Below are 25,801 nucleotides of genomic sequence, written 5' to 3' on the forward strand. Positions count from 1 at the left end.
CCTCTCTTGATACACCGTGTGGAGGATTTCACCACCCCTAACAGACATATAGACGGGAAATGTCAGGGAGAGACAAAAAAATTCAATTTATTTGGCTTTTCTCCAAGTCTAATTCTTTCTAGGGTGCAAATGGTGCTCTTTTAAACTCTGCAACCCATATTTAACTCAGGGCTTGGACTATAGTAAATGTTTAAAGGGGAACTAACATTTTACTCGGTGTCTCGTATGTACCAAGGACTGTGCTGAGTACTGTCTGCATGTTATTTCATTCAATAGTCCTGATGATTCTGTGACATATGGGCAGGGTTCTTTTCTCCATCCATATAGGTAAGGAAAGCAGGATTCAGACACATTAAATAATGTATCCGGGATCACACAACTAGTATGACAGACACAGAATTTAAACCCAGATGTCTCTGATTCCAAAGCCCACATATGCTCTTTCCCCTCCCCATGTTGCTTGCTACATTAGTTTCCGAGGGCTGATGCAACACATTGCCACAAACTGGGTAGCTTAAGAAAACAGAAATTTATTATTTCACTGTTCTGGAGGCAAGAAGAGCAAAATCCAGGTGTCCTCAGGGCTGTGCTCTCTTTGAAACATGTAGGGGTGAGTCCTTCATTGCCTCTTCCTAGCTCTGGGGGTGGCCAGTAATCTTTGGCATTTGTTGCCTTGCAATTGCAGAAACTTCACTCTGTCTCCATCATCACATGGCGTTCTCCCCTTGTTTATCAATGCCTCTGTGTCTCTTTTCCTCTTCTTGCAAGGATACCAGTCATATAGGATTAAGGGCCCATCCTACTGCAGTATGGCCTTATCTTAAGTAATCACATTTGCAACAACCCTCATTTCCAAATAAGGTAACATTATGAGGTACCGGGGGTTAGGACTTCAACATAACTTTTTGGGAGACGCAATTCAACCTGTAACACTTGCTTCATATACATTTGATGAATGGATTAATAGGTGAATGAATAAATGAATAGGAATAGAGGAGCTTGGTGAGAAATAGGAAGTGAGGTTAATAATTCCCCTCTCTGGCATAGAGCTCTAATGTACATGCTTTTCATATCAATCATTTTCACTCATTCTCAGTGGGAATTGCTGAAAAGTGAATTCTTTCCACATTTATCTGGTGGAATAAGTTAACCTTCTCCACGCTCTCTAGTTACACATTTTTAACCATACCCAAGATCATGTATCTCCATTCACCTCAACTTTACTGCAACCATGTGAAGTATGAAACAGTGTTATCCCCATTTCATGGATGGGAAAACTGAGCTATAGAAGACTCTGTGCAAGCCGTGTTAATAAGTGACAAAACCCAGACTGCAGCCTGGAACTTTGGCCCCCACAGGCATTTTTCTTCTCGTAAAAAAATTATTCATTTTTTCATTGCACTTACAATATATAAACATGTGTTCACCATTAAAAAAGTTTTTAATAATACAGAATTAAATAAAGCAAAATGTTACAGAGCCTTTTTGCCCCCTCCAACCCACTCCCAGAACTAATTCCCAGCCGAGAGGTCATCATACTTGCATCCTTCTCCTTCCTGGATTGTTTTTCTCTACATTTACTGTCAAATATGTATATGGACACCTATTTTTAGGGCTTGTTTTTTATTTACCTAAAGGGGATCACACTCCTTGTGCTGTTCTGGTACTGACATTTTCCACTTAACAACACCCTGGAGATTTTTTTCATGTGTCAGCAAAGCTGATCTTCACTCTGTGTGCACCAGTACGTCAGCGGGGCCAGGTTCTGCTCTGCTGCTCAGGTGTCTGTTCTGACTGGTCATGCTGAAGCAGGAGCTGCAGGCTTTGGGTTGTTTTTGTTTTTGACACAGGGTCTTACTGTGTCACCCAGGTTAGAGTGCAGTGGCACAATCATGGCTTACTGCAGCCTTGACCTCCTGTGCTCAGATGATACTCCCACCTCAGCCTCCTGAGTAGCTGCAACTACAGGCATGCACCACCATACCTGGCTAATTTTTTATAGAGATGGAGTCTTGCTTCGTTGCCCAGGCTGGTCTTGAACCCCTGGGTTCAAGCGATCCTCCTTGCCTTGGCCTCCCAAGTACTGGAATTAAAGGTGTGAGCCACCGCACCTGGTTGGTTGCAGACTTTGAATATCACCCTGCATGCCAATACCTACAGGCGTGTCTCACTTCATTTATATCGCTGTGTCGTGTTCTTGAGCATGGAGCTATCATTTTTATGTAATCATCTACTATTAGTGCAGATTCAGGTTTTTCTGGTTTTTCAGTATTTTTTAGTAAGGTAGCCCTCAACATGCTATACCTGCCTCTCTGTGAATCTGTGTGAGAATGCAAAATACTCTCTCTGTCACTGCTTATACAATAGAGACACCTGTGAGCTCTTCTTGCCCTACAGTAGGACCCTTGAAGAAGGCCCAGGTGTCTGGGCCTCAACACCTCCAAGAATCCAAGTCACTGCAGGAACATTAGCTAGGACAGTGGCTTACCACACTAGCTGCCATTAGGGTCATCTGGGAAGATTCTGAAGAAGCATCTATGCCTGGGTCTCATCTCCAGAAGATCTGATTTAACTCAACCAAGGTTAGTTCCAGGCATCAGGATGATTTTTTTTTTTTTTTTTGAAGAGATAGGGTCTCACTCCATCATCCAAGCTGGAATGCAGTGGTGCAATTATAGCTCACTGCAGCCTCGAACTCCTGGGCTCAAGCGATCCTCCCGCCTCAGCCTTCTTAGTAGCTGGGACTGCAGGTGTGTACCACCACGCTCAGCTAATTTTTTTAAAATTTTTTTGTAGAGGCAGGGTCTTACTATGTTATCCAGGCTGGTCTTGAACTCCTGGCTTCAAGCAATCTTCCCACCTTGGCCTCCCGAGTAGCTGGGACTAGAGGTGGGCGGCACTACACCCATGATTTTTTTAAACTGCTATATATACTTCAAATGCACACTTAAGGTTAAGAACCAATGCCAAAGGACCTCTAAGACTTTTATAAAGGGCCTATCAAAAGATTTGAAACCTGAAGAGGAAAAAGTATTAACAAAAGAGAGACAGGGGAAAGGAAAAATAAAAGAGGACAGAACTATTTCTTTCACCCCACAAATGCTGAGACCAGCCCAGGCTCCAGCCCTGTAAGTACCCACAAGTTGGGCTGTGTCTTTCTCCAGGAGCTGCATCCCCACCTGTGGCTCTCTTGCAAATCCATTCCCCCAAACAAGGCCCCAGCTCTAACCCAGTGGTTTCCAGCCTCTGAGGATAAGGACCCCTAACATCATGGTGACTTTCAGGGCGGTGAAACTCTTCTGAATGAGACTGTAATGGTGGGTACATAACATTATGCATTAGGCAAAGCCTGTAGGACTGTACAACACAAAGAGTGAACTCTAATGCAAACTGTGGACCTGTGGACTTTAGTTGATAATAATGCATGGATATTGGTTCATCATTTGTAACAAATGCATCACACCAATGCCAGATGTTAATAATAGGGGAAACTGAGGCAAGTGACTGGTAGTATATGGGAACTCTTTGTATTCTGTGCTCAATTTTTCTGCAAGTGTAACATTGCTCTAAAAAATAAAATCTATTAATTTAAAAAAAGACCTTCTTACACAGATATAAGTCTTTCCTCTCTATCTCCCCTCCCCCTTCCCAGGAGAGAAGCTAACATTTTAAGATCTTTTGATTGAGAAATTACAGGATGAGCAAGACCCTGTAAATGCCTAAAAGCTTTTTAAAATAAAAAAGTAAATAAATCAATAGTTTATTCATCCCCACGGCATCAGCACCCATCGAAGACAACGTTGCTCCATCTATATTCAAGTCCTCTTTCTTCTTCAAACCACACGCAGTGCCTGCCATGCTTACAGCTTCTCCAGGTCCTCCACGGCCATCTAAGGGTTAAGGACCATGTGCATCCCTACCGCTACCATTCTCCGTCACTTCACATTTCCGGGCCCAAGACTCCTTTTGCAGCAGAGGTTAATCTGATTAGAGTTGAGGTGCTAATAACTTAAATGAATGCCATTAAACACCACCTGATAAAATCTGCCTTTAAACCTGAGCTCCCAAAGGGCCAGAGGCTGTAATGTCAAGCTTCTGGGTAGGGCAGGAGGAGTGAGACTAGTGGGGAGGGTGTCCTTTCCCAGTCCGTGGGTAGCCTCCTGCTGTCTATATAATAAACCCTTTCATTGGCACAGAATTTTATAGTTTGTAACGCAATTTAGTAAGGACTTTTTGAGTGCAGCTAAGCCCCAGATACAGTGCTCTGTTCTTTATACAAATCATCTCATTTGATTTTCATAACAACTCAATAAAGGTATTGCTGTCTCCATTTTGCAGAGGAGGCACTGGAGGTTGGGTGAGCCAAGAAACTTTCCTTATGCAGTACAAGGGAAATCCAAACCCAGTTTGAATCCCGCTTCAATCCCTTACCTTTCTCATCTACTTCTCCCTAACTATGTATTAGTGGGGGTTACATGTGGTAGAATTTCTGTCACTCCTGGGTGACAACAATGGACAGGACCCTGGGATGCATGCAGCCTTCCCCCTGGCGGACCCCGCTTTCCTCCCCTCCGCACCTCCCTGCTAGTCCTCCCTCTCCTCCTGGCCCTGCATAGCTGAAGTTATCAACCCAGCCTGGAGAGCACTCCGTCTTTCCTGACCTGACTGTGCCTTTAAGCCAGCTTTGATATAAGCAGGTTTGGTCCTCATGGGTCGGTACCTGGAGCCACAGTTGGCCCAGGTGTTGGAGCATCATGCTAAAGACACCAGGACCATGGGTGTCATTCACTATTTCCTGTGCACTCATCGAGTGCGGCTGGGACACCAACTATGACCGAGATGCGCTCCCTGCCCTTGGAAAGCCCCCCAGTCCCATGGAGGAGTAAGAAACCCATGGGGGAGGAAGAAAGAGAGGTGAGGGCTGGCGCGGTGGCTCACGCCTGTAATCCCAGCACTGTGGGAGGCCAAGGCGGGCAGATCACCTGAGGTCGGGAGTTGGAGACCAGTCTGACCAACATGGAGAAACCCCATCTCTACTAAAAATACAAAATTAGCCGGGTATGGTGGCTCATGCCTGTAATCCCAGCTACTCAGGAGGCTGAGGCAGGAGAATCGCTTGAACCCAGGAGGCGAGGTTGTGGTGAGCTGAGATCGCACCATTGCACTCCAGCCTGGGTGACAGAGCAAAACTCTGTCCCAAAAAAGAAAAAAGAAAGAGAGGTGAGAAAGAGAGGGGAGAATTGGGGTTAGGGCTTGGGCAGGCCATTTATTCTGGAAAAACCACACAAAGAATTCTGGTGTTCCCTCCCCTTTACGAAAAGCACTTTCACAGAGCATATTCCAGTCTGAGGGGTCCCTCTCACCCCTCCCTTTCCACAGATGTGGCCATTAGGCTTAAGAAGACAGATAAAAGCATGCGCGTGAATGATTTCAAACCCATGTCCTCCTTGTCTGTTCCTCCATTTGACCCGTGTATACTGTGTGCCCACCTTGTGCCTGGCACTAGTGTGCTCTCTGGAGAGCACAGGAGGGAAACAAGAAGGAGGAGACGACTGCCTTGAAGGAGCCCACCTTCCAGTTGGGTCATCCAGCCACAAACTGATAAATAAGTAGACATAGTATAATCACAGTGACATTTAGTGCTGGGAAGGAAAGAAAAGCAGTGGTAGGGAAAGGTGAAAAAGTATCACGTGAGAAAAACAATTTCACATAGAGCCAGGGCCTCACAGGTGCACCAGCAATGTCAGTTCCACCTGAAAAGCACAGCCCTGCTATTGAAAAATAAGTTAACTTGTGCATGCAGATCACAGAAGGCATGACAGTGTCACACGCAGCGTGACCAGGTGGCGATCTGGGACTCAGGTGCCTGTGTGGCACATTGCTTAAGAATTTGAAATCCGGCCGGGTGCAGTGGCTCACACTTGTAATCCCAGCACTTTGGGAGGCTGAGGCGGGTGGATCCACGAGGTCAAGAGATCAAGACCATCCTGGCCAACATGGTGAAACCCCGTCTCTATTAAAAATACAAAAATTAGCTGGGTGTGGTGGCAGGCGCCTGTAATCTCAGCTACTCGGGAGGCTGAGGCAGGAGAATTGCTTGAACCCGGGAGGAAGAGGTTGCAGTGAGCCGAGAGCACGCCACTGCAGTCCAGCCTGGTGACAGAGCGAGACTCCATCTTGGAAAAAAGAAAAAAAAAAAAACTGAAATCAGCCCAGGTCCAAATCCAGCTTTTATCATTTGCTAGCTGTGTGACTAGGGGACAGTTACATGTTCTTTTCAATTCTCAGTTTCTTCACTTGAAAAATGGGGAGAGTAATACCTATCTTAAAGATTGCTGTGACGTTTAAAAATAGATCATATTTGTGTAGCACAGTATCTGGTACTCAGTATTCAATAAGTAATAAATACAATTTTTAATTTTTGTTACTAAAAGCTGAGATGGTCCAAAAAGTTTTCTTATTTTGTTATTAATAGAAAGCATAATGACTTGAATTTGTAATGCTTTCCTTTTTAAAGTAGTTTTACATATGTTATCTTAATCCTCATGGCAGATCTGAGAGTTGAGTATTATTTAGGGACATTTTCCTAGAAGCAATATTATTCATTTCTCACATAGGAAAATGGACACTAAGTGATGTTTTGATCATGCTCCCCTTTGCTTTTGACTCATTAGTGTCTTCTTGTTGCTCCCAAGAAAATGCCCAGAGTCCCTAACATGACTGCCCAGTCCTGCATGGTGGGGGCCCAGCCCTTCCCAGCCCCATCCCACACCACCCTTCCCCTCCAATCTGCATCCTCCCTGCACTGGGCTTCCAGTGTCTGTTCTGCGCTGTGCTTGCTGTCCCCATGGGGCCTCTACCCAGGCTGACCCCTTGTCCAAACCCTGCAGCCCTCTGCCCGAGCACCTGGCTACTTACCCCCACTCCTCCTTGGTACTCGCCACCCTACCCTCACACCTCCATGTAGGTCAGGTTTCCATGTAAACACTGTATCAATTGGGAGTTACATTTATCTCTAAGCAATTAAGATTCCTTTCCCAATGGTGGCTTAACCAGAATGGGTAGGGGCACCAGGCGGCAGTGGGGGAGTTCCTTTCTCTCATGAGGCTAGCAGCCCAGAGGTAGGCAGCGGGGGCAGGCCCACCCCGGGCCCTGTGCAGAGGTCTCCTCCTCAGGCTCACCTTCCTGGGGCCCTGGCCAGCATTGCACTCACTCCCTATTAGAGAGCTTCCCCAGAAGTCCCGCTCCAGAAATTTTACTCTTAAAAAAAAAAAATTAGCCAGGCATGGTAGCACAGGCCTGTAGTCCCAGCTACTAGGGAGGCTGAGGCGGGAGGATTGCTTGAGCCTGGGGAGTCTGAGGCTGCAGTGAGCCGTGATCATGTCACTGCACTCCAGCCCGAGTGACAGAGTGAGACCCTGTCTCAAAGAAAAAGAAAAAGAAAAGAATTTTACTATAGCTTATTCACCTCAAATGAGCTAAACAGCTGCTCCAGGGGATGCTTAGAAATGTAGCATTCTAGCTGGACCCATTTTTCTCCCTAACCAAATAGGGATCCAATGAGGAAAGAAGAGAGGAGACTGGATATTGAGGAAGAAACTGGCAGCCTCTGCCACATAGACTTTCACGGAGCTGTTCCCTCTCCTTCATAACACTTCCCCCAGTTCGCAGTTACACATTCCTTAGATTCAGTGTTTGTGTGTTTTATTAATATCTGCCTTCCCGCTGGACTGTAAACTCCGTAACAGCAGAGGCTGTGTCTGGTTTTGCTCACTATTGAATTGCCGATGCCTAGCACACACCTGACACGTAGTCACACACGTAGTCAGGTGTGTGCTAGGAATCAATGAATAGTTAAAGAGCAAGCATGAAGCTATATGGAGGCACAGCTATGGAGCTAGCTTCCTACTAGCTTATCCCATCTAGTCACTGTAGTGATAAGGATAAGGTGATAACTGAATTCCTACATCTTCAGGGATCTGCAGACAAGTGGAGAGAAGCAACAGGTGAATTATGGCTTCCCTAGGAGCTGCCTACAGAGACAGATCACCGGGTGGTGCAGACCGTCATATGTTTAAGCAGGAAATCGACTCCTCCCCGCTCAGGCCTGACAGGTTCAGTAGCTGTAGGTCCACTGTGTGGCACTGAGTCCCTAAGCTAAGAGGCCATGACTTCCTGACCTTGTTTACATGATTAACACCCAAGGCGTGACCTGAAAGCGACAGGTTCACTTCCCTGCGAAGAACTCATTATCTAGAAGCCTCTGGCATCCTGGAATCCATAGTAGAAAAAGTCCAACTAGTAAGTGTCCAAAACCATACCTTTCGTGAACATCAACTATGGAAAGTGAGTCACAGAATGTTTGTTGCATGAGAACCCATAGCAATGACCTTGCCAACCCCTTCATCTTCCATCCCAGGACACTGAGGCTCAGAAGATGAGGGGCTTCCCCCGAGGAACATGGTAAGTCAGGGGCAGAGGGAGGCCTGGAAGCCAGGACCCCACTCCTTGTACTAAACTACTCGAATCAGAGCGAATCTGAGAGCAGAAAGCAGAGGGCCCACAGTGAGAGCTGGGAGTCCTTTCCCACTTCTCTCCCCTCCCCTCTCTGTTCAGCAACAGAGCAGATTTTCCAAGCAGTCAGTACCCATTGAATTGTAAGCAGTGGCTTCATGAGAGCTCCTGCTCTCAGGACATTTAGACTATTCGAGGGCACTGGATGCGTAGCTGAAACAAATGACCCCTAAATGGAGGTGCTAACCGGAGCTTTGCCCCAAGAGGATGACCAGGTGCCGCCTCCATCCTGCAACTTGCCCTTGCCATCGCCGGATGCAGTGGAGGCCTGTATAGTATGAATCAAAGGATTGCTGTTTAGTCTACATCTAGGTCAGTGTTTTCATCCAAAATTACAAGTTTGGGTTCCTGGCATAACTCTTTACTTACTCATAATATTGTTGTTGTTCAATATATGTTTCTTATACATCAATATTTGCTGATTGGCTGCCTAAATGAATTAATTAACAACACATACATAGTAAAAACCGGTTGAGGAATGTGTTGCAAACAACTTCAATCAAGATCGCCTTAATTATTATTTATTTAGTATGTATTATGTTCCAGGTCCATTACATACATTATTTTTAATCTTTACAACAAATATGCGAAGAAGATATTTAAAAAGAAGATCATTTGCCCAAAGGCATACAGCTTTATAAGTAATGGAGACAGGATCAGAACTCAGTTCTGGCTGATGCCAAAGACTGTTCTTCCACCACCGTGCTTCCTTCTAGCTTTTCAGGATATGCTTGTCCACACAAACGTGGGTCAGCTCTGTTCTTTCTACCATGGGTGTCAAATGAAATTAATTTTTGCCATCACCCTAGCTTACAGTTTTCCATTTTCTGCACCAGTAGGCACGCAATTATTTGCAAGAATATAGAACACTCAGTAGGGGTGAGGTGAGAAGAAGCCTCCCTTTTGCAGATAGACAGGAAGCAGGCAGTGGGCATTCAGTATACTTTTTACCAGGTAAGTAGACTTACAGTGGAAGAACTGCTTAAAAGAAACAGGCCAAGATAAAAGGGGTTTCTCATCCCCTTTGCAAATGATGTTCTCTTAGCACTTCCTAACACACTGAGCAGAGGCCAGTCTTTCCATCTTTCATATAACAGATTGTTCAGGCTTTGCCTCTCTGGTGAAAGGGGTCCCGTGAGGTTGAATCTCCTATAAGGGCTCTCACACCATCTTATGCTCCCTGAATCACTGGACGGGACACAGATTGGGCTAGCGTGGAACAAAGGATGCACAGAGGAGGAGAAGGTGAGGAAAGCGGGGAGGAAAAGGGAGGGGTGCAAGATTCCACTCGGAACCTAACGCGTGGTTATCCATCAGCCTCTGTCCTTCCTGACTCTGGGTTGTTTACAAAATCCTCGCCCTGGTGTGCACTGGGCTGCCTCAAATAGCCCTTGCTCCTTCCTTTAAGGAGGCACTGCTTTTGTTATAGCAAAATCCAAAAGCCTTAACTTACCACCAGGCAGGACACGGCCAAAAGCTGGCCTGGGGAAGACGGGACGAACTCGCAGGTAAATTAAACACCCGCCCAGTGTGGAAGCTTTCTCTGAATACTCCCAAAGACATTCTCCCCTCCCCTATGCCTGCCCCACACTCTTCATGTGAGTGAATCTATCATAAGCATGGGGTGGGGGAAATGTGAGTGCTGGGAGCCTCGTGAGGTGAGTGCCAGCAATTCTAAACAGGAACGGGGAAGGACTGCGGTAGACAAGCCATGAAGCCTTTAAGTCACTTCACGGTGATCTGTATATCCCAGCAAAGCCTAGGCCCCATTAGGGAGTCTTTTAGGGAAAAGGGTACTCCTGTCATCCCACGTGCTCATTCATGAGTGAGGGCAGATGCGGGGAGCCGCACTGGACAGCAACCAAGATGGAGAGCCGTGCGGTGCAGCGTGGTGCCCTCCCGTAAATTCCACCCGCGCACTCCAAGGTTCCACGGCACACGTAAACCATCTGCCCAGCCCTGAGACACCATCTCACCTGTTCTGTGTATATGCAAGTTCCGCTCCCCCCTGTCCTCAGCACTGGCCTCTAGTCCATTCTCCATCCCCATTCTACCTCTCACAAAATAAGTGTGTGCTCAGGGAATGGAAATGCATTGAAGAAACCTTGAAGGAAGGAGCTGAAGGTAGGTCCGCTGCCTACCTGCACCAAGAAAAACAAACAACTCTTAAATATTACTAAGGCCATGACCCCTGATTAGGGATGCAAATGCATCTCTATTGACCAAGGTTATAAATCAATGTTTAAGAAATTAGATCATTTGGCAGATGTATATTTAGATGAACCGTGTTGTAGACCCTTTTGCACAGTGGGACCCCATCTCCCCTAGTACATCTTGACGCTGGGTAGTCATGGGTGTGGGGCACCGGGAGCTCCTGGTGAAGGCAGTCCTGCCTTTCCCCTGCATGTCCACAGGCCAACTGAGCTGCAGTGGATGGGGTTTGGTCCAGCATCTCTCGTAGATTTACTTTTTGCAGGAGCTTGAGCTGGTAGATCCCAAAAAGTATTTGCCTCCAGCATATTCTCCCTTGATTTTCACAGCTTTCTGCATTTCAAGAGTAATGTAACTCATGGGAGGCTGATTCACTGAAAAGAGCTCAGCAAAGTCTGGTTTGTGAGAGCCATTTGATATCTAAGAGGCCTTTCTTTCCTCGTCTTCTGAGCCCATCTACTCCAAACCCCAACTCTGGCTGGAAGTTGGAGAGGCAGAACCCAAAGCAATAGCAGGGAGGGGAGCCCAGGCACCATGCAGAGGTGGATTTAATCCTCCGAAATCACCCATGATTCTTTCCCCATTCAGCAGATGAGAGCATCAACACTCAGACAGGGGCAGCACCTGCCTTACAGTTTGTAAGTGAGAGATCTGCCACCGCACTGCCACACACCCTGGGGAGCAAACCGCTCAGCCCCAAGATGCCAGCCCAGGCTATGCTTCACTTAGTGGCTCTTTTGAGCTTCCTCCTTCTGAAGCCCTGCACTAGCAGGAATCCAGAGGGGTCCACTCACAGTTACCCTGCAAATCAGTTCCGGTTCAGACCCTACTGTTGGCATTGAAAGCTTGCCGTGTTCTTAAACACTGGTCCTGGTGGCTTGGGGAGTAAGCGGTGAAGTTGAGAGGGACGCAGTATATAATACCGCCATGAGCCTTCGAAGGAGCCTCAGTGGTCTCTCACCCTGGGGCCACATCCTGCTAGGCTTCAGGTTCCCTGGTCACCAAGTCTCCTTCCCCCCCACCGACAACCTGCAAGGTAAGTTGATACAGATATGTTGCTGCCAGGGGCGACGCTGTTCCAGATTGCATCTGAAGGCAGAACCAGGGGTCAGGGGCTGCAATTACAGCCAGAGGTTTTAGATTAGAGAGAAGGGCTTCCTGACAAGTTGCTAAACTCAGCGGGTAATTAGGGAGAGTTTACAGAAACTCTTTCCCAGGAAATATAATCCCATCACCCTACTTAGGAATAGTCTCCCTAGGAGGACAAACCAGAAAGTTTCAGGCTTTTCAACCTAGAAAGACTATGGACGTGAGTCTCGTGAAATGAAGCGGGGTTGATGGGGAGTTCTAGCGGGCGAAATCAAACCTGACCTGCCTCCTTTACAGACTTGCCAGGATAAAAGGAGATAACATCTCTGCAAGCATTTGTCTACTGTTTGGTGCCAAGGCGAGGATGAGGGATTTTTATTGTGCGCAGGAGCTGGGGTCTCTCCCATGAGGCTTTAAGGAGTAAATAAATGCAGCATCGCTTTACACAGAGGGCAGCAAACTACCCAACTGAGAGCAGTGTGGACTGAGGAGTGCAACAGGCTCCAAACAAAACTTTAAGACAATTCACCAATATCAGGGGCTTCCAGGTTAAAATCAAGGGACTCCACTGTGGCTTAACGCCACCAAAAAAGTTGTCACGATCATCTCCATTGTCATCCGTTACTCTTCGTATATGCATTTTGCACATTTTCTCATTTGATCCTCATCACACTTCTGGAGAGCAGCTCGGGGAGGTATAACCCCATCCTACCAATGAGGAAGTTGAGGTTCAAAACTGGGTTGTGTGAATTGCCCAAGGTCACATAACCAGCAAGCGGTACCACTGCTTTGTGTAACTTCAGGTGGAGGTCAATGCCTTTTCCACTCTGACTTTGCCCACTCTTGCGATCAATTCCTTCATTCATCCATGTGTTCATTAACTCAACAGATATTTACTAAACATCTTTAAAACAAAGGAAACAGCAAACTGGAACATATTTTCTTTCCAAACTCATTGTGAAATTGGGACATACTCCAGGAAATAGTAACATCATTTTGTTCCCTGGCTCTAAAAACACTTAATCTCATCTCGTTGTCTGTGACACTTCTTACTAATAGCTGACAAGGTCTTAACAATTTGCCCCATCCGTTTGACCCCATCTTCTGCCACTTCCCACCTCCTTCTCTAGATCCTGAGTACACTGACCTTTCAAGTCCTCAGTGACACCAACTAGGCTGCTTCCTGCCTCAGGGCCTTTGTGCATGCTATTTCCCCCGTGCATACATGTCTGCACCATTCGCATAATTCAGGTCTGAGTGCCGCCAATGTCATATTCCCAGAAAGGATTTTCCTGACCTGCTTCATCACACACAGGCCCTCCCCATCACAGTACTTTTTATTTTCTTCATGGAATTTATTACTTTCTAAAATGTTCATATTTATATTTAGTTGTTTGCTATCTGTATCCCCTTGCCCCAGCCTCAAATTCCAGGAAAGCAGGGGTCTTGTCTGTCTTGCTTGCTGAAGCAGGCACCTGCCCCATGTTTAACATATAATAAATAAATATATTAATTAATTAAATAAAATCATGAATTATTGGTCAAAAGTATTTATTACATTACACTTGATTGCACAGTACAATTATTGTTATAAGCTATAGATTAAAAACTTTTTTTTTCTTAATTTGCACTGAAATCTAATTGCAAGGAAACTGCGACTGCAGCAGTAGGTTAAGTTCACACAGAGTACATACCCTGGATGGGAATACTGCTCCCTTCAATCTGTGTTTTGTTTGTTTGGCTTCAATTTATGGACGCAGTTTCTTCTGCTTCCAGACTTACCTTGGAACCTCCAGTCCTTAATAAATGCTGAATATGGAGAAAGTTTCAGTAAGTTGTGGCCAGTGGACAGCAGTCCACTTAGGAGTCATCGTGAAGTTAAAAATACTGACAGGTCACAGAGGGCTATGGGTGTCCAGCCAAAGCTAAAACTTCTGTCCCTAGACTCAGAACTAGACCTGCAAGAAATGAAGCTAGCTTTAGCCCCTTTCATCAGCTGTTTTCTTCATGGCTGGCAGCTTTTCCTCAGTTACTTCTTCTTTTCTCTTTCTTATTTCCCTCTTTCCTCATTTCACTTGCTCTTGCAAAAGGAGCTTTAAAAAAAACCTTATTCACATTAAGATGTAAATGACTGTTGACTTCCCAGGTGTCCCTGCAGACTAAAAGAGAACCCACACTGAGGAATAAAGCCACAGAGGGATTCCAGGCATGCAGAAGCACCTGCTTAGAAGGCTCTGCCCTGCTCCTTCCTGCTCTAACTCTTAAGTGTCTTGAAAAAAGAAAGACCTTACAGGCCATCTAGCCATGTTGACGAGCATGGAGACCCTGAATCTAAGGAGCTGATAACAATAAAGTGTTGCATGGCCTGAAGATAAACCTGGAGGGACCTTCAAGGTACGTGGCTGGGTCTTCCTTGCAGCCACCACTCTGCATAAAATTTCCATTGGCAGGTGTATCTCACAGGCATTTGGCTGCAGCACTCTTAACTCTTCTCTTGTCCCAGTGATATGGGCTGTAATCACAGACAATGAGTGTGGGTTTAAGGAACTTTCAGGAAGATAATCACTCATTTACAAGGCACCCTCTTTATAGTTGCAGTTACAGGGGGAGGACCAGCACCTGCTTCCTTGCTGTGCTTTGAGCTGTGTGATATGACTCCAAGAACACTGTAATAAATACATTTCTATTTATCGAAGCGTGCTTTATGTAATGCCCACAACTATCCTCTGAAATAGATATTGCTATGACCATTTTCAGCTGAGAAGAAAACTAAAGCTCATGGAGGTAAACTAATTTGCCCAAGTTCACATAGCTGGAAATAGTGAGGCTGGGATTCCTTCTGACTCCGAAGGTCTTGATTTTTCCTTTAGTTTCTGTCTTCACGTTTGCAGGTCATAGTAACCTACTGTAGAATGAGCTCATAATTCCCAATAAAAGGTATGCAATTACATTTTTAATTTCCTGAATGAGAAGTAAGTGTTAAAACTATGTTTTGAGTCATTTACTTGAGTTGATCAAGTCAGTCTACGTGGTATTCACTTCTTAAACAAATATTGACTGATCTGATACTAAGTGCCAGATGCTATCGTTTGAGGACACAGGGAAAACTGTTTGTGACCAGAAGAGCCCAACAGCTCTGTCTTCAAGGAGCTTACATTCTACTTGGGGAAGATGGAGAATAAACAAATAAGGAAAACCTAGACTATGTCAGGAAGTGCAGAGGATTGTGGTATCAAACAAAGTAGACAGCAGAATTGGGAATGCCAGGAGTGGGGTTTGCAATTTTAAATAGTCTGTTCAGGGGAGGCCTTGCTGGAAAGAAGGGATTTGAACAAGGAGCTGACAGAGGTGGGGAATACAGCATGGGGCTCTCTGGGGAAGCCTCATTCCAACAGTGGGAGAGCAAGGACAAAGGCTCTGAGCTGGAGTGGCCCACTTTGCTCAGTTACTTACAAAGATAGATTAATATGAAAAATGTCAGTCCGATAAGTTGTTTGGTATTTTAAATGCCAAAAAAAGACGGGGAAAATCTTAAGATTAATCTCTGAGATAGAATCAGGGGGAGTGGTTGCTGTGGGAGAGGGTGGGTTATGGCTGAGGGGTGAGGGAGCTGGGGCGGTTCCACATCTTGATCGAGGTGGAGGTTAGAGGCTTACTGTCACCTGCTGCATATTGAGGACTGTGCACTTTACTCTGTGAAGTTATATCTCAGGGTTTTGTTTTGTTTTGTTTTGAGATGGAGTCTGGCTTTGTCTCCCAGGCTGGAGTGCAGTGGCGCCATCTCAGCTCACTGCAACCTCCCCGCCCCGGGTTCAAGCGATTATCCTACCTCAGCGTCCCGAGTAGCTGGGGTTACAGGCATGCACCACCACACCTGGCTAATTTTTGTATTTTTAGTAGAGATGGGGTTTCTCCATGTTGGTCAGGCTGGTCTCGAACTCCCGACCTCAGGTGATCCATCGCCTCAGCCTCCCAAAGTGCTGGGATTACAGGTGTGAGCCACTGCACCCAGCCCACTATCTCAGTTTTTTAAAATGAATTTAAAAAGAGGCCTTAGTTCTCCACTTCCGGGTTTCTGAAGTTACATATTCACATGCCGCGTAATACCAGAATTTTTAGTGCACGTTTCATGGTTTCTTCTTTGCTGCTCAAGCTTATGAGATTCACTGAGAAAAATGCAAGCTTAGAAAGAACAGGGTTCAAGGGTTTGCTCTGGGATCTTCAGAGAGTTGACCATCCTTCCTGGATCTGAGTTTCTAAACCATAAAGTAGGACTGGTAATGACGGTATCCACCTTGCAGAACTATTGGGAGGCGGAAACAAGATCATGTCTGGGAAAGTTCTCATTTAGTTGCAAGACCACAGAAATCTTACTTCACGGTATAATTACAGGTGCATCCAGTGTTTTACTGGAGTGCCTGCGGGATCACCACCACGTCAGCTCCTACTTGGGCTATGTCCCTTGCCTTTTGTCTCCTGCCAGTCACCCTCTGCTAGGCACTGGGCACTGCCACACACGGCAGGTCACTCCGCCAAATGGTGTTCTATGGTGGGGGGCAAAATGACTCCTGTTCCTTTTGGGCAATGGTCTGAACTTCAAGCAGATTATTATACTCTAAACATCTCAGAGGGTGACTCAACAGCCCTTTCTGTCACCACCCCCTCAACCCTGCAAGACTCAGACCTGAGTGCAGGGGAAGCTGGACCGGGACAGCCATGTGACTGGTGGGAGAGGCGAGGCTGTGCAGCGCTAAGACCTTCACCTCTCCCACTGGTGACTAAGCCTTGTCACTAGATCACGCTTGTCCTCCTGTTCCTTTAGGAGGAGGTTTCCCAGGTATCAGCCACTCGCATGGAGAAAATTAAGTTTGTGGGTGGGGGGTGGGCGGAGGGGTGCATCGTCAACAGGGGATTTGGAACTTAGGGAAACTCAAGTGGGTCTGACTTTTATTATCACCATCTGTTTGAAGTTCTAAAGAAAGTCAGTGACACAATACTGCCCCCCTCAAGACAAACCTTATCTTGGTCTAAGTCCCAAATAGTTGCTGTGATTACTATTTATTGACTTTAATTACATATAGATATATAATTACATCTGTATAATATTGTTATATGATGTAGATGATTACCTTTTCATTGCTTACTTTTAATAATCATTGTGTTCTCTATGGCAGTTAATTTTGAGAACTCCCAATCGTATAGTGCTCTCCCCAGCGACTAACCCCAGCCCCAAAAGATTAGCTAAATGCGTCTGTTTCCAGAGCTATTCCTAATGGCATAATGGTTTGGAATGGTTAGAACTTTCTTTCAGGTATAGTCTGCCCCTATGGTATCACATATTCTTGCACTTAAACAGTTTGCTTGAAAAAAATAAGCACATTGATTATATTAATAAAGGCAAAGAAACAGAGTGTGAGTGACTTCAATTCTGCCATCCTATGTGAGAACTTAGAGTTTTTATCTGCACTTAAAATTGAAAACAGTGAAATAAAGTGTGAACTGCAAGGTATAATGTTTTGTTTGGTAATAGTTCATATGGGTTCAAGCATAAAATGTTCTACAAACTGTGGATAATATCTTTAATATTGCTGTTTATTTTTTAGTTGTTATTTTTAAAGTAAAGAACAAATCAAGAAAATAATGATGATTACATGAAGAACTAATTAAGAAAATAATTATTACTATGTGGCTATTATGGAAAATAGTTTTGAGGTTCAGAGGGAGGAGGTATCAAATATTAACAACTCCAGGTTCAGATGCACTAGGCACAGCAAAGACTGTGTGTACCACTCAACCAAACACACTGAATTCCAGTGATGGACATATTTGACTCTCAAGAGCCATGCCCTGTGATCTTGTTATTGCTACCCTCCTAGGATGGTTTCAGATACAGCCCCATCAAGAAGCAAGGGGGTGATGCAGATGGCCCAGGAGCTCTCTGCTCTTACCACTCATACATTCAAAAAGCACTTATTGGGCAGCCTTAGTGCACATTGGCCTGGCAGAGCTCTGCACTTGACCTGGAGGTTACAGGGTTAAGGAGGCTAAGGTCTCCCTGCATCTACCCAAACTGAGAAAACCAGCACCAGATGAAGGCTAAATATCTTGCTGTTTGGTTGGTTGGACACAGTGGCTCACACCTGTAATTCCAGCACTTTGGGAGGCCAAGGTGGGCAGATCACCTGAGGTCAGGAGTTTGACACCAGCCTGGCCAACATGGTGAAACCCTGTCTCTACTAAAAATACAAAAATTAGCTGGGCGTGGTGGTGTGCACCTGTAATCCCAGCTATTTGGGAGGCTGAGGCAGGAGAATCGCTTGAACCCAGAAGGTGGAGGTTGCAGTGAGCCGAGATCACGCCACTGCACTCCAGGCTGGGCAACAGAGTGAGACTCCATCTCAGAAAAGAAAAGAAAGAAAAGAAAGAAAGAAAGAAAAAAATTTGTGCTGTTTAAAAGGCTACACTCCAGGCTGGGCAACAGAGTGAGACTCCATCTCAGCAAAAAAAAAAAAAAAAAAAAAAAAAAAGAAAGAAAGAAAGAAAGAAAAAATCTTGCTGTTTAAAAAAGCTACAATTACAGTATCATTTCCAAAGCACACCTATTAAAAAGAAGGCTTTATAGGGAGGAAATGCACACTTATAATGTAATAGTTGATAAACAGAAAACCCATTTATGTTATTATACAGTTAGAAGATGCATCCTAACCTGCTGTGGAGAGACTAGTAATTGTGGAGAAACTCGTCCATAACAGATGACAACACATGCTCCAACATCACCCGAGCATTTAGAGGCCTCTTGAGGTGTCTCTGGAACTAGCTGTAAAGTGCATCTTCCTGATTTATTTAATAAAAGCAATTCCTGCTTGTTATTGCTCTTATTATCATTGGTAATAATAGTGACAGGGTGTTTGAACATGTTCGTTTAGCTCTGGGATTGGCCAGGAGGAGAGGCTTATATTCTACTGTTTATTACTCATCTAATAGTGAAGACCTGTGAACCGACTGGTATAAGCATGGGAGCCTGGGGGCAGTAAAGACACCGCCAGGAAGGCCAGGGAGAGGGTGATCAGTGTGACATGTCATTGGTGGCAAAAACCACTGGACACTGGTAACTGACTCCCTCTCCGTAAGAGCAGAGATGCAGACCTTCTTCCTGGTATGAAAACAATAACTAGCAATTTCACAACTTGCTGGGTTCTCCAAACTTTCTCACCCAGAAAAGTTCTTCTGGCTCATTTGTAAACACTGGTACAGTCCTTTTTGTTCTAGACTCAGAGGAGCAGGAAATCACCCAGGAATACCAGGAAAAGCAAGCTCTAGCATTGACCTGAGTTTGAAGCTCTTTTACTGGCTGTAGGTGAGACTTTCAAGAAGTTTCTCAAGGGTCAGGAGCCCTGTTTTCCTCAGCTGTATAGGGTACACCATAATACCAAGCATTTGGCACGTTATGAGAATTGGATGCAAAGCTCTATGTTAAAACAGCTAGCAGGCACTGTGGATCGGCCGTGGTACACAAATACACGGTTGTACTACTGCGCCCAACTACAGCTTCTGTCATCCTCATTTTCATTACAGTCCCGTCCAAGTGGGGACTGTTGCTGTCGCTGCTCCTTCTTCTTACTCAAAGTCTTGAGAAATTCTTCTTTCCACATGCTAGTAATGGTCAGAATAAGAAGAATGAATTAGAAATGTCTATTTCCTCCCACGGCACTGAAAGATCAGTCTGATTAAAAAATTACTTCACTGGTGTTTAATAACTGCACTAAAGGCAAAATGTAATTATTCTCATGCTTTAGATGGAGAAACCGAGGCTGGAGAAGTTAAGGAAGTTGCTCAAAGTCATGTAATAAGCCCGAATTTTTATTCAGGGAGTTCTAGATGTTTTTCCCCCTTAGGGATGCTTCCCACTATTATCAGGTTGGTGAATAAGAAAATCCTTTCTTGAGTATGAGTAAAATAAATTGGAACCAATATTAAACAGAGTTTTTTACAGTTTTACAAAGCACTTTTACAAAAAGTCTCTAACTTCATGCAAGATTACTTGTATTACTAAATAGTACTACTAGATATTATCATTTTACAAAAGAGGAAACTGAAATTCTGAAACATTACTTGGCCTGTCCAAAGTCACGATATTCAAATACGTAGAGCTCAGACCACTGTGGTTCCAAACACCCATCCTACCATTATATTTCCTAGACGTGTAAGGTAAAAATGGTATCTCCCCATCCCTGTATTCCTCACCACCTGCCTCCTGCATCTTTTCTCTCAGTCCATGTAGCTTCCAGTCTTCAAATTGCTTGCTCCACTATTAAGAATTCCTTGATTAATACCTTTCTTTCTGACCTCAAGGCAGCTTTTAACCTTATCTGTATAGTCCCGACATTCCAAGAACATTGGATGTGAGTCATGTATTTGCAGAATTCTATTTTATCATCTGATTTTGAAACCCAATCCCTCATGAAGGATAATCTAATGTTTCTGGGTCATGAAGCTTATGCAATTTGGGGAGCCCTTGGCAGGAATAAAGAAAGAAAAACAAAATTAGATACAGAGCTTTGAAAGAAGCCCATCTGTGTGAGGCGTCGGTACTAACGCTTAAGCTTCAGAGCTTCAAAGTAGAAGCCATGAATTCACCTCCATCCCCAAGTAAGATTCAACTCCAGTCTGGTTCTCCTTCAGTGAATCTACTCTGGGCCAATACTGAGCTGTCCACCTTGCAGGTTTAGCTCACCTAACTCTCACGGCAACACAGACAAGAAGGTATGATTGTCTTTTTTTTTTTTTTTTTTGAGACAGAGTTTCATTCTTATCGCCCACGCTGGAGTGCAATGGCACTATCTCAGCTCACTGCAACCTCCGCCTCCTGGGTTCAAGCGATTCTCCTGCCTCAGCCTCCCAAGTAGCTGGGATTATAGGCACCTGCCACCAAGCCCAGCTAATTTTGTATTTTTAGTGTAGCATGTTGGTCAGGCTGGTCTCAAACTCCTGACCTCAGGTGATCCGCCCGCCTCAACCTCCCTAAAGTGCTGGGATGACAGGCGTGAGCCATCAGGCCCAGCTGTTTGTGTTTATGTTATAATTTGACTACTCTCGTTTTCAACTCAAGTTTCAGTTTGTTGAGCCAAGGAATCTTGCTTCTAATTTCTTGGTAGGACCTCCCTTGATCCCAGCACAATCTTGAGTTCATAAACATTTTATGAATGAATGGATATTTGAACAAATGAATGAATAAAGGAACATGTTCAATGGCTACTTGTTGAATTTATAGCAGAAAATGTAATTGTTATAATAATTGCTACTTTTTGAGTGCCTATTACGATCCAGTCACTCCTCATATATTATCTCTAATTCTCACAGCCTCCCTGCAGAATGGGTATTATTATCTCTAATTTATAGCCAAGGAAACTGAGGCTCTTTGCAGTTAAATTATTTGCCCAAGGTCAAACAGTTAGTAAGTGGCAGAGCCAGATCCGATTTTCTCCAAAGCTTAAGTTATGTCCATCTCAGAAGCGACACTCCGGTTGCTGTGGTCAGGGGCTGTGTCCTGCCTCGTGCTGTGCCTGCTCACAATTATGACTCGCCTGTACATGGAGGTGGGTGAGGCTCCTTCCTGCTTCACCACGCTCTTTCTTCTCCTGCCTCATGTGCTCCCACAGTACCTTGGACATGCTCTGCACACGTAACATGTTTGTCACATGGAAATGAACAGCGGGCAGATTCCCTTAGTGGGTCTACAGGAGGAAGTACAATGAAATAAGAGTTGCCTTGGCAAACAGAGAACGCGTGCCAAGGAGACCAAGGTGTTGAGAGAAGCAACTGCCTGGGCCCAAGCAGAGGGGAGGAGGCAAACAAGATCCTCTGGGGCTTTTTACTTTCTGCCCCAGACGGACCAGACGAAAGATGCCCTTTGTGGTCTCTTTGGACCAACAAGACTCTGTGATCATAGAGGAATGTGAGCATGAATGCCAGGTTCCCACCAAGTGCTGGTAATGATGAAGTGTCTCTTGGGCAATTTTTATATGATGAAAATGTGGTGGTGCTTTTAAGAGGTTTCAAGAGCCGTAGGCAAAAAGATGCTCTGATGACAGTGGAATGAGATGCTCAAGGCTCTCACCTCCATTATCTCATTGAAGTCTCTCCAGTCCTTTAGGGATCAGAGGGAAGCAGTCAAGGTAATTCCCATCTTACAGAGGGGAAATTAAAAACCCGAGATCTTAGAGCCCAGAAGTTCACCATGTTTATTCTGTATTTGGCTTAGTAAGTGATTACCCTTAATACAAGAAGTTTCTAGTAGACAGGACAACTTGGAATATTTCCTTCCTTTACATTAAAATTCAATCTAGCATCACTGAGAATTTGGTATTTAAAAAATGCTGTTTGCTGCTGGGAAAGAAGGTTATGGGGAAGATGGTGATGATGCTGACAACGATGACTATGACCAGTACCAGAGACCTGAATTCATTCAGGAATAACAGTACAAAGAACACCTGTCCCCAGGTCCTTGAGCGCTGAGGCCCAAACACCTTACAGAATCCCCCCAGTTTGGTGACAAACCACTCCTATCGTGAACTACCAAAAAAGGGGAGCAGGGAGATTGGAATAACCAGCTCTTTGGTAGATAATCCAGGTCCGTAGTCTATGGTTCTGGACTCTGGATGATTCCCTGAGCCAGCCTGTCAATAACTGATTCCAGCAGGGATGTCTGGCTTGGGCTGGGGGCACTGGCAGATAAGGACATGCAGTGCTCAGATGTCGCTTCAGAAAAGGACTTGCAGAGTGTGATTAGCTGATGGGCTCCAGCTTTTAGCTCCCTGGGGTCCGCCATGACTTCCTACCTGAGGTCACACATTCCTTGCAAGAGGATGGATGGGAATCAGCCAATGATCGAGCAAGGTGCTAGCAAAAATGCATACCAATTTCCTTGCTATGTGGGACTCCTTCATTGGGCAGTCTTTGCTCTGGAGCTGCCCATTGGGCTGGCATGGACTTTGTTGGATGTACATGGTAATCTTGTGGCTCCTTCTGCCTTGTTCTACTTTCTCCCCTTTTCTCTCACAGGTCTTCTTCCTGCAAACTTTCTGCACTCCTAACTCCACCGCAGCATCTGCCTTCTGGAGAACACAGCTGTCACACCTGTGTTAAGCTCCAAAGCGCTGGAGGTACCTAGTGCCTGGATGAAACTAGAGACATGGAGATATTGCACCCAATAGGACAAGGATGAATCCAGCCCACAGGCCACCAGAGAGGAGGAATACAGCTAAGTGGCTGAGGGCATGGATGCTAGCAGCTGGCACCAGCGCTAACCAAGGGCTTATCAGGACAAGGGAGGCAGCTCCCCTCCATGCCAGCCAACTGCACTTAGGTGACGATGCTGAGGATTTCTGCAGTCTAAGTTACTCTGAAGCTTGGGCAAATTGTTTTACTGCCTTCAGCCTTAGTTACCCCATATATAAAATGGGATAAGTGACACGTGTTGTTAAAGTTCACCTTTCATCGGACCCCAAAATGATTCTAGAGATAGAGAGCAGATTAGGGGTCGCTTAGGGCTGAGGAAGATGGGGCTATAGGAGGCTGATAGCTAAAGGGCACAGGGTTTCTTTCTGATGTGATGAAAAAGCTCTAAAATTGACTGCGGTGATGATTGCATAACTCTGTGAATATACTCAAAAATCACTGAATTGTACACTCTGAATGAGCGAGTTGTATAACACGTGAATTGTATTTCAACCAAGCTGCTATTTTAAAACACTTAGCTCAATGAATCATTGCAAGATGAATAACCCATGTAACCATCACCCAAGTCAGGAAATGGAATATTCTAGAATCCCAAAGTCCACCTACCGCCTGCGAGGACATGTATTTTTTGTTTGTTTGTTTAGTCTCCTGTCCCCAGAAATCTTATGGCACATCTCTGAAATAGGTCATTTGGTGTGACTGGTATTAACTTCCACTGGGTCTGCAAGGAAACATGGTGGCCTCCCTGGTGATCCTTCTCATGAAACACAGAGTTCATTCCTAGCGTCCTATTTTAAAAGGGATACTGGCAAATCTGAGCCCATCCCAAAGGTGTGTGAACAGATGAGGAGATCTAGTGTTCACATGAACAAAAGCTGAGGATCCAGGTCCACATAGCCTGGAGAAAAGATTTCTGGGGGACCGAATTGTTGTCTTTCCATAGTAAAGGGTTACCACATGGAAGTGAAGGCACCTGTGCTTTGTCACCCACAGGGCAGATCTAGGAAACAGGAGATGGGGCAGTGCCAACATGTATAGTGTCCAGCATTACATATGGCACGTGACACACAAATACCACCAGAGTCATTTATCAAGGGCCTAGTACATGTCGGGCTTTGCGTGTTCTCTCGAATCCTCACAAAGACCTTGTCAGATGGGTATAATAATCCATGTTTTGCAAAAGAGGAATGAACTGGGAGAAGAAGATTTGCCAATGGGGACAGATGAGACAGTGTGGCCCTCTTAGGCGCCAACATCTTTATCCTGCATTAAATGAACATGCAAGCTTGTCCAACAGACAGGCATCAAAGGCTGTTTAGAAGAGAAGGGAAAAGAAATGGAGAGGGAGCAGGGGACCTCCCAAGCTCATTGCAGGTGTGTCCCTAAGAACTCCAGAGGCCCGGCCAGGTACAGTGGCTCACGCCTGTAATCCCAGCACTTTGGGAGGTGGGCGGATCACGAGGTCAGGAGATGGAGACCACCCTGGCTAACACGGTGAAACCCCGTCTCTACTAAAAAAATACAAAAAAATTAGCCGGGCGTGGTGGTGGGCGGCTGTAGTCCCAGCTACTCGGGAGGCTGAGGCAGGAGAATGGCGTGAACCCGGGAGGCGGAGCTTGCAGTGAGCCGAGATTGAGCCACTGCACTCCAGCCTGGGCGACAGAGCAAGACTCTGTCTAAAAAAAAAAAAAAAAAAAAAAAGAAGATGATGATGAAACTGAGGATTAGGAAGGTTAAGCGACTTGCCTGGACCAAGATCATCAGCTGCATGAACCTCTTAACAAAATGTTGGTCTAAAAAGCTATGTCAGGCTTATTCCTGGTTCCTCGTCTAAGCTGCTGTGACATTCTTCACACACGTCACCCTTTCCCTGGCCTTAGTTTCCCAATCTTTGGGCATGGGGCCTGAGCAGAGGGCTGTATAGCGGCTTGAGCAAGTGGTCTGGCGAGAAGAAAGTGCCTTCTGAAATTGAGTCTGTTCTGTGGCAGCGTTTGGGTGGAGCCCCCGATTTTGGCCCAAATTGCGCAAATAGTTGATCATAAAGAAGATTAAACAGACAAGTGAGATTTGCGCCGGTGGTCTCAAGATGGGACAAGTTTGTTCTAGATTTGAAAGTCATGCTTCAGTGCTCCAATGTAGCAAATTTTCTGTCCCTGGGGCTCTGGGGAAACCCTTGTGTAGTATATTTGCTTTCAGTTTCCTTTGACAGAGGTAGGGAGCTGGTGAGTGGGGGAAACATGCCCTTTTTCTAGGATCCCTCAACGCTTAATAGACGTGCAATCACCATCATCCAGCAAGGGCGTTGACAGCTTCTCAACTTCTGAACATTCACCCAGCAACCCGCGCCATGCCCCTGCGGTCTGGCCCTTGTCCAGCCTGCTGAGCCTTCTCTGTCAGAACCTTCATAAAAACAGGAACAGGATCTCTGACGGCCCAGAGGCTAACTCTGTCTCCTTTCTTGCCCGTTTTACTCTGGGCCCTCCCACGTGCCCACCAAACGCTGAAGGGAAGATTTTCTTAACTCAGTAAATGGCCACACATGTGTCTCGCTTCTGCAGTTCTGGCTTGGAGAAGTTTAATGTCTCGGGGCTGGAATAGCCTTGGAAGTCCTCAGGTTTATCCCACTGCCTCTGGGTTGACCACGTCGAGAGCTCCCCAGGACTCTCTGCCTCCCCATGTTTCTTAAGCC

At 45.5% G+C, this 25,801-nt stretch overlaps 1 long non-coding RNA gene across 1 annotated transcript in view, besides 5 other annotated features; it reads right to left on the reverse strand.

Moving 5' to 3' along the window:
- LOC105369612 (uncharacterized) overlaps nt 1-13,886 on the reverse strand; it is a 30,940-nt gene extending 17,054 nt beyond the window's left edge. Inside the window, exon 1 of the long non-coding RNA XR_931569.3 lies at nt 13,657-13,886. This is a non-coding gene — a long non-coding RNA (uncharacterized LOC105369612). The remainder of the gene's footprint in view (nt 1-13,656) is intronic.
- Nucleotides 1,830-1,919: an enhancer, noted in NCBI's record as "active region_5822". NCBI's record gives its function as "activates an Ori minimal core promoter by ATAC-STARR-seq in GM12878 lymphoblastoid cells {active_cell/tissue: GM12878}" and the evidence as "EXISTENCE:reporter gene assay evidence [ECO:0000049][PMID:35858748]".
- Nucleotides 12,053-12,954: an enhancer, noted in NCBI's record as "H3K4me1 hESC enhancer chr12:4311299-4312200 (GRCh37/hg19 assembly coordinates)". NCBI's record gives its function as "activates a minimal SCP1, AML or CMV promoter by ChIP-STARR-seq in primed H9 embryonic stem cells {active_cell/tissue: H9 hESC(primed)}" and the evidence as "EXISTENCE:reporter gene assay evidence [ECO:0000049][PMID:30033119]".
- Nucleotides 13,943-14,237: a silencer, noted in NCBI's record as "tiled region #8601; HepG2 Repressive non-DNase unmatched - State 22:ReprW, and K562 Repressive non-DNase unmatched - State 21:Repr". NCBI's record gives its function as "represses a minimal TATA promoter and a strong SV40 promoter by Sharpr-MPRA in HepG2 and K562 cells {active_cell/tissue: HepG2 | K562}" and the evidence as "EXISTENCE:reporter gene assay evidence [ECO:0000049][PMID:27701403]".
- Nucleotides 15,180-16,090: an enhancer, noted in NCBI's record as "H3K27ac hESC enhancer chr12:4314426-4315336 (GRCh37/hg19 assembly coordinates)". NCBI's record gives its function as "activates a minimal SCP1, AML or CMV promoter by ChIP-STARR-seq in primed H9 embryonic stem cells {active_cell/tissue: H9 hESC(primed)}" and the evidence as "EXISTENCE:reporter gene assay evidence [ECO:0000049][PMID:30033119]".
- Nucleotides 25,009-25,228: an enhancer, noted in NCBI's record as "active region_5823". NCBI's record gives its function as "activates an Ori minimal core promoter by ATAC-STARR-seq in GM12878 lymphoblastoid cells {active_cell/tissue: GM12878}" and the evidence as "EXISTENCE:reporter gene assay evidence [ECO:0000049][PMID:35858748]".

The sequence above is a fragment of the Homo sapiens genome, chromosome 12 (genome assembly GCF_000001405.40).
Source record: "Homo sapiens chromosome 12, GRCh38.p14 Primary Assembly".
NCBI classification, from domain to species: Eukaryota; Metazoa; Chordata; class Mammalia; order Primates; family Hominidae; genus Homo; species Homo sapiens.